The sequence below is a fragment of the Homo sapiens genome, chromosome 8, assembly GCF_000001405.40.
Source record: "Homo sapiens chromosome 8, GRCh38.p14 Primary Assembly".
Lineage (NCBI taxonomy): Eukaryota > Metazoa > Chordata > Mammalia > Primates > Hominidae > Homo > Homo sapiens.
Genome location: NC_000008.11, coordinates 69,206,938 through 69,215,128, shown reverse-complemented (window position 1 = coordinate 69,215,128; position 8,191 = coordinate 69,206,938). Strand labels below are relative to the sequence as shown.

Genomic DNA, 8,191 nt, shown 5'->3' with positions numbered 1-8,191 from the left:
GAAGAGGTGTTGTGGTCATTTGGAGGAAAAGGGGCACTCTGGCTGTTTGAGTTTTCAGTGTTTTGCATTGATTCTTTCTCATCTTTGTAGAAATTTAAAATATACTTGGTGCTGGGGCTGGACATGTATATTTTGAAAAAATTTTGTGAATGATTTTAATGAGCATTCCTGACTATGAACCACTGATCCCAGCATACCAGACTGACGGAAGTCCCCAAACACCCTCATGAGCTATCAGGCTTTAGTATATTTTTTTCTTGCGTTTACACTGCCCAACCTCATAATCTACATCTCACTTTTTATTTTGGACACATCCTGTTCATCTTTCAGAACTCTATTCATCTGGTTTCTCTGAAATTCTTCAGGAATATTGACTTATTTATTCATTCCTTGTAGTGTCTGACATTTAGTAGGTGATCAAAAAATATTACTTGATGAATAAATAAATTAATGAATGATTAAATTTTGCTAAGGACTTCAGTAGATTACAAAATAAATAAAATGTAATCCCTTCCCTCTCAATAGTAGGAAGATATTATATATTATAAGGAAGAGTATAAGAAATGCCATAAAATCTTATTTTGCATATTCAAAGGAGGAAGGATCTTATTAATTTCTAGTTTCCTAAAGTCTGATTTAAAACATCAGGATGAGTACACACATAGGAAAAGGTGATGGGGTTGTGGTTGGGGAAGAAGAACACAGGAGAATAGCATCAACAAAGACACAGATGATGGAAGCCAGGAATGATATTTTTCTAAATGAAAGTGCCTTAGTATGTTTGGGTTGCTATTACAAAAACATCATAGCCTGGATAGCTTACAAACAACAGAAATTCATTTCTGACAGTTCTGGAGGCTGGAAAGTCCAAGGTCCAAGTGCCAGCTGATTTGGTTCTGGTGCCAGCCTGCTTCCTGGTTCATAGATGACCATCTTCTCCCTGTGTCTTCATATAGTAGAAGGGGCAAAAGAGATCTCTCAAGCCTCTTTTATGCAGACACTAATCCCATTCATGAGGTCTCCACCTTATGACTTGATCATCTCTTGGAGGTACTACCTCCAAATACTATTACATTGGAAGCCAGGATTTCAACATATGAACTTTTAGGGGACATATATGTTTAGTTTATAGCAAAGGGGAAAAGCTAAGTCCAGGAAGGGCACCCACCTGACTTAGCCCTTGAGGCATGACACATCCTGCAGAGGGTATCACACAAGGAAACTCCTGTGTCAGTCAGGGGGCAGAGGAAAGAAGAGAAGTGTGGGTGAGAGATTTTATTGTAGTTCCTGTGGAAAGGCATGGGCGAGGCAGGAAAAGCAAGCTAAGATTGGCTGGTTTGAATAATTCCAGTGGGCTTTGAGACATAGAGACTTTTCCTAATTTTCTGGTACCTGGCCCTTGAGTGATGAGGGCAGGTGGATAGTGGCCCAGATAGTGACAGCCCAATAATGAAGTGGTTCAGGGTTTGGATAGGTTGGTTTGCCATTACAAAGCCCTGTCTTGGTTAAGTAGTTTTCTGTCTCTAGGAATTGGCTAACCATGAGAGGCGCAGTTTCTCCAGAGTCAGCAAGATCTCAGATTTTAAAAGCATCAGAGTACAGAAAATAAAAGACAGGGTTAATACAGGCAGGTTGGAGACATAGTCATGCAGGGACCTGAACTCTAGATTGAGAAGTTTATAGTTAATTAGGTAAATAATGGGGCAGAAAGGGGACAGGCCTGCATACATTATTCAAGTATATGTAAATTAACTACTGCCTTAGGTTTAGGTGGAATATGATTTGTTTTTTCTTTCATCATCTTCACTGCCCTCCAGCCTGGGCGACAGAGCCAGACTCCGTCTCAAAAAAAAAAAAAAAAAAAAAAAGAGTAACAATGGCAGCTCTAAATATTTCTGGAGGTGAGGGGGTTTAGCTATGCATGTGTTAGATTAATACAGTTTATAGTCTCAGCCAAACTCTGATGAATCCTGGCTCTCCCACTTATTAGCTGCATTAGCTCTTTTGGGCTGCTATGGCAATGAACCATACACTGTAGCTTATAAACAACAGAAATTTATTGCATACAGTTCTGGAGACTGAGAAGTCCAAGATTAAGTCACCAGCAGATTTGGTGTCCCATAAAGGCCCACTTTCTGGCTTATAGATGGCTCCTTTTAGGTGTGTTCTTTTGTGGTGGAAGATGCAAGACAGCACTCTGGGGGCTCTTTTATAAGGGCACTAATCCCATTCATGAGGTTGGAGCTCTCCCAGAGGCCTCGCTTTCTAATACCATCACATTGGTGATTAAGTTTCAACATACGAATTTTGAGAGGACACAGCAATCAAACCATAGCACTAGTTGTGTTACTTTTTGTCACATTTCTGGCTTGTCACATTTCTGGATTCAATTTCCCCATCTGTTAAAATGGAAATAATTGTAGCAGAAGTCTTATAGAATCGTGAGGATTCAATGAGTTAATACAAAGAAACCACTTTTGAAGTCCTGGCAAATAGTAAGCACTCAGTAAGTGTTAGCGTTAACTTTTTTTTGTGTGTGTTTTCCTTTTCAAATACATTGCTTTCATCTACATACAAATTATTTTTTTACACTAAAATACAGCTCTGTGATTTATTACAGAGTGACAAAAGTCTGCAATAATCACAGACCTGAACTGAAAATGGAATTCCAACATCTCCTCCAGGTGTTCATTCCTATTTAGTTTCTTTTGCTGTTTCCTTGCCAACTCTGAGGTGCAATCCTCTTTTTGTATTTGAAGAAGCCACTTCCTTGTTTCCCATCCTTCTCATGCAGATGAAATCCTAGCAAAGGTCGTAGGGTACATGCAGGAGCAGAGCCCTCCGTACACCATGCTATGTTAAGTAAGAAGGCAGTAAAGGAATGAAGCTGAAGGTATAAAGATGCACTTCCAGCCCTGACCCTCATCTTATACCCACAAATTTACAGATAAGCTTCAAATGTGTCTATCTCACCACAGAAAGTAGAATTCACCATTTTCAGAGATCTTCTGAGCAGTGGGCCTGTTGTTTTTTGATCATTGGAATCATTCCTCCTGAAAAAATCTCATAAGAAGCTAATGAGAAATGTATCTAAAGGTAAACTATAATTCTGGAAATAATAACATGGGGTAAAATAAAGGTAGAAGGCTTTGGTATTTGATAAGGAATATTGGAAAGTGCAGCTGATTAGTAAGCAACTTGTCAGTGTTGGTTAGCCAGTTCTACTTGAGCATTAAGTGGACTAACTGGTTGGCATAATTATATAAGAAAAATAGATGCTGAACGTGTACATTCCATAGTAGAACTGGACATTTTTTTTTGGCTTTACTGTAGCCTAGGTAAATAATCCCTCTAGAAAGAATCAGTCTTTTTATTTTTTCATAGTGTCAAACAACTTTATGATTTCTAGTAGCATTCTCCAACATACTACTATTAGAAAGTGGCCTGGGAATTAAATACAACATCATAAGCCAGTCTGTTTGGAGTTTCTTATAGCATAGCTTGGTTTCCTAGAGATCAGTCTAAATTTAAAAAGCACAAGACCAGCTACATGACAGTTGAGTCCCACTAAAGTGTGGGAAACCACCAGACCTTAACATCTCTTAGCTTTACCCACTGCTATGATCTGAGAGCTTGTGTCCGACACCTTCCCCAATTCATAAAAATTGAAATTCTAATCCCCAAGGTGATGGTATTTGGAAATGGGGCCTTCTGGAAGATGATTAAATCATGAGGGTGGAACCCACACAAATAGGATTAGTGCCTTTGTAAAGGCAGATCCCTTGATATAGAGGCAGATCCAGCAGATCCCTTGCTCTTTCCACTATGTAAGGTTACAGTGAGAAGGTGGCTGTCTAAGAGAAGGAGGCCCTACACAAGACATTGAATCTGCTGGCATCTTGATCTTGGGATTCCCAGCCACTAGAACTGTGAGAAATAAACTTCTGCTGTTTATAAGCCACTTAGTTTATGGTATTTTGTTATAGCAGCCTGAATGGACTAAAACAATCATTAATTACAATAACCTCAGAGATTGTCTTTTCCCATATGCTCCACGGAGGGCTGGTGTTTTCACATAGGGTATACAAAAAGGCTGCAATAAATGAAAGGAAAGGTGCTAAAAATTTCCAATTGCCTAGAGCCTTCAAAGGAACTACAATCGCTCTTTTGTGGACCTCTTAGTTGCTGCCTATACAGTATACATTTGTAGTCTTGCTCTAGGGCTATGTTAATACTCCCATCCTTTGTCACTATGTAGTCCAAAGGGACTTGCACTATCTGGACATTCCACAGAGCATCATATTGTCCAATATAATGATGACACCATTTAATAGCAATAGATAAGCAAGAATAGCAAGTATGTTGGAGCACTTGGTGAGACATATGCTCCAGAAGATAGGAGATAAACTTAGTGAGTACTCAGGTTTTGCAGTAAGGTTTTTGGGGATTCAGTTGTCTGGAGGTACCAGTAGGAGAATTAATTTAGACCTCTTGGATCAACCAAGATCCTCTTGGATTTGCAAAGTGAGACTATCTTTGTGTTCCATGTTAACACCCATAAAATATTAACTGCTAAGAAAGCACACTAAACAACCAGGTAGATAGAATAACCCAGTTGGTTGACATGAGGTAGCCTCTGTCATTTGATTAATCAATGCAGTATCCACGGTAGCAAGGGTGGGTGCTACACATGGGCTCACCATAGCATGGTCTCCCACTCAGCAAGGCTGATGTAGCTACTAAAACTGCTGATGTCCCAATGTTGGCGACATAAGAAAATACTGAGACCCCAGTGAAGCATCATCCCTTAAGGAAACCAACCAGCTATATAATGGCAAGTTGATTACATTGAAACCCTTTTATTCTGGAAGGGGCTGTAGTTTCTCTTAATTAATTATAATTGATAAATGTTCTGGGTATGTGTTTGTCTTTCCCTCTCATAGCGTCTTAGCTAGCACTACTATCGGAAGGCATATGTAGGACAATGGCTATGTGAATATGAGATTTGCTGGTTCTATCTCATGTTGCACTCTTAGAAGCTGCCAAACTAATAGAATATTGGAATGGCTTGCTTGAGGCGTAGGGAGGCACTAGCGTTGTGATGATCTGTGAGGATGGGGAACCATCTTCCGTAACACAGAATATACCCTAAATCACCAACCATTACATGGTGCTCTGTTTACAACAGATAGAACACACAAGATGGGAAGCCAAGAGTTTAAAGTAGGAGTGGCCTATTGTATAAGTTTTCTATTATTGCCATAATAAAATACCAAAACTTAAAAACAATAACCATTTATTATTTCACAGCTCTTTAAGTTAAATATCTTGTAGACTTGGCTTGGTCTCTGCTTAGAGTCTCACAAAGCTGAAATCAAGGTGTTGGGGAGCCTGTACATCTTTCTGGAAGCTCTAGGGATGAATCCGCTTCCAAGTTCATGCATGTTGTTGGTCAAATTTAGTTCTTTCAAATTTAATTCTAGTCTTAGGACTAAGGTCCGTGTTTCTCTGCTGCTTGTTAGCTGGGGCTGGTCTTGGCTCCTAGAAGCTGCCTGCATTCCCTCTCATGCTTTCCATGTGTCCCTGTCAAGCAATGGCAGATCAAGTCTCTTTCACGCTTCAAATCTCTCTGACTTCACTTTTATTGCACCTCTTTGACTCAAGCTGGATAATTTTTTTTTGTTTTTAAGGGCTCATGTGATTAGATTGGGTTCACTCAAATAATCCAGGGTAATCTTTTCATCTTAAGGCTTATAACTTTAATTAGATCAGCAAAGTCTCTTTTGCCATGTAACATCATATTCACAGGTTCCTGGGACTCAAGTGTAGACATATTTGGGTGCCATTCTGCTTACCACATACTAACTACCATCACTCCCAGTAACCTTCTTGGGGAATCTGTGCCTCCTGTCCTTATTACGCTCTGATCTAGAGGTCCTGGTTCCCAGAAAGCAAATTCTTCGAACAGGGGACACAGCAAGTTCCTAACTCTATCTTATTTAAATTAGCAATCAGTAATGAAGAGCACAACTGTAAAGAATGATATTTGAATCACACAAAATGCAACGATTAGAGTACTGCAGTTAAAAAGTATGACATGTTTGTGGTGCATGCCCTCTTGCATTTGCAGGCACAATTTCCTATCTTCTAAAGGCAAGGCAGGAGGGAGGGAACTCCTGCATTTTCAGTTACTCTGGGAAGGCTGAGGAGAAGGTGTGATCTGCTAAGCTCCATAAATGATAGACGGGAGGGAACTATGAAGAGGCGAGGGAGAAGACATTCCAGACATAGCTCAGGCCCTGGGAATGCACAGATGAAAGGCCTGAAGTGCTTCCCTATCTGGGTGGAGGGGAACAGATGAGTGGGAGAGTAAAGGGTAGTGAAGGAGGGTCCTGAGAAATCTGAAGGGAGCTGGGGACTCGAAGATGAAGCACTTGGTCATGTTGTATATAGAATAATTAAAACCTTCTTTAGAGTTTTCATGAGTGTAAAATGATCAAAGTGGTGGAAAGAAAAGATAATTTAGGGTGAAATGATTATGAATGACCTTATAAAAAATAAATACATGATCATGTTTTTACTAAGATATTTTCTATCAGTTTAAACAACTGGGAGATTCCGAATTAGAAAAGAAAAAATTGAGTAATTGAGGAAAACTAAGTGTCAAAACCTTAAAAAGTTATATGACAAAATTTAACCACTGAAGAAGCTGAAACTTTCTTTTCCCCAGTGTTATCTAAACTGTTTTTTTCTCAAGATAATTTCTCAGTCTTTAGTGCAATAAGATGTTCTTTGTTGCTAACAGAGTACATTACTAAGCATGAGATTACTACATAATATTTGCAGTGACATGTTTTAAAGCTCCAGATTGTGTCAACAATAGTACAAAAAATTTTCTTCTATAAGACATATTATAACTTCATTACAGGATACTTTAAGTTCTTTTTAGAAAACAGGTGGTGTATAAAAACTCCACCCCTACAGGTGCCAAAGTAGATGAGCTGAAAAGAATAACCCCCTATAGCATTTGCTATGTTTCAGATGCTTCCGTAAACACCTGAGACACATAATGTGTTCAATCTTCACAGCAGCCCTAAGAAGTAGGTACTTTATTAATAGAGATTAAGTGGCTTGCCCATGGTTACAGAACAGATACTTGGTGGAGTCAGAGCTTGAGTTTAGGCATTCTGACATTACCGTCTGTGCTCTATCTAAACCACTACACCAGGGGTTAGCAATCTATGGTCTGTAGGCAACAATTGGCCTCCACCTGTTTTTGTGAGTAAAGTTTTATTAGAACACAGCCATGCCCATTTATGTAAGGGTTGTCCATGGCTGCTTTTGCTCTACAAAGGTATGTTTGAGTAGTACCAACAAAGGTGATAGGTATGGCCTGAAAAGCCTAACATATTTACTAATTGGCCCTTTATGGTGAACGTTTTGCTGATTCTTTCACTGCACTCACTATAGAGTTGCTTTCTGACAACTGAATTAGAGTTTGACCTCATGGTAAAGTCTTTATCTCCATTAAAACAATTTATGTACTTCACTGGGTTTAGCATCTGAAGGGAAATAACTTACTGGGAATTCCAGATTTTACAGTGAGTTTAGGAAAAGATATTGAGCCTCTTTTCTCCTTTTAGTCCTTACAACATTTTGAGGAGAAAAATTCTACCCTGCCTTCTGCTTCTAGTTGGAAACAAATTTAAATTTGCAGAGAAGGTGTATCGGTCAGAGCTCTTCAGGAAAACAAAGCCAGTAGAAAAAAGAAAAGGCTGGGTGCGGTGGCTCACGCCTGTAATCCGAGCACTTTAGGAGGCTGAGGTGGGTGGATCACGAGGTCAAGAGATTAAGACCATCCTGGCCAACATGGTGAAACCCTGTCTCTACTAAAAATAGAAAAATTAGCTGGGTGTGGTGGTGTATGCCTATAATCCCAGCCACTCAGCAGGCTGAGGTAGAAGAATCACTTGAAGCTGGTAGGTGGAGGTTGCAGTGAGCTGAGATCGCACCATTGCGCTCTAGCCTGGGTGACAAGAGTGAAACTCCATTTCAAAAAAAAAAAAAAAAAAAGAAAAGAAAAGAATGTATATAAAAAGAGACTCATTAAAACAAATTGGCTTATGTGATTATGAAGGCTGAGGGTTCCATGATCTACCACCTACAAGTCAGAGATACTGGAGAGCTGGTG

At 39.5% G+C, this 8,191-nt stretch overlaps 1 annotated feature.

Moving 5' to 3' along the window:
* Positions 6,027-6,528: an enhancer, noted in NCBI's record as "NANOG hESC enhancer chr8:70120836-70121337 (GRCh37/hg19 assembly coordinates)". NCBI's record gives its function as "activates a minimal SCP1, AML or CMV promoter by ChIP-STARR-seq in naive H9 embryonic stem cells {active_cell/tissue: H9 hESC(naive)}" and the evidence as "EXISTENCE:reporter gene assay evidence [ECO:0000049][PMID:30033119]".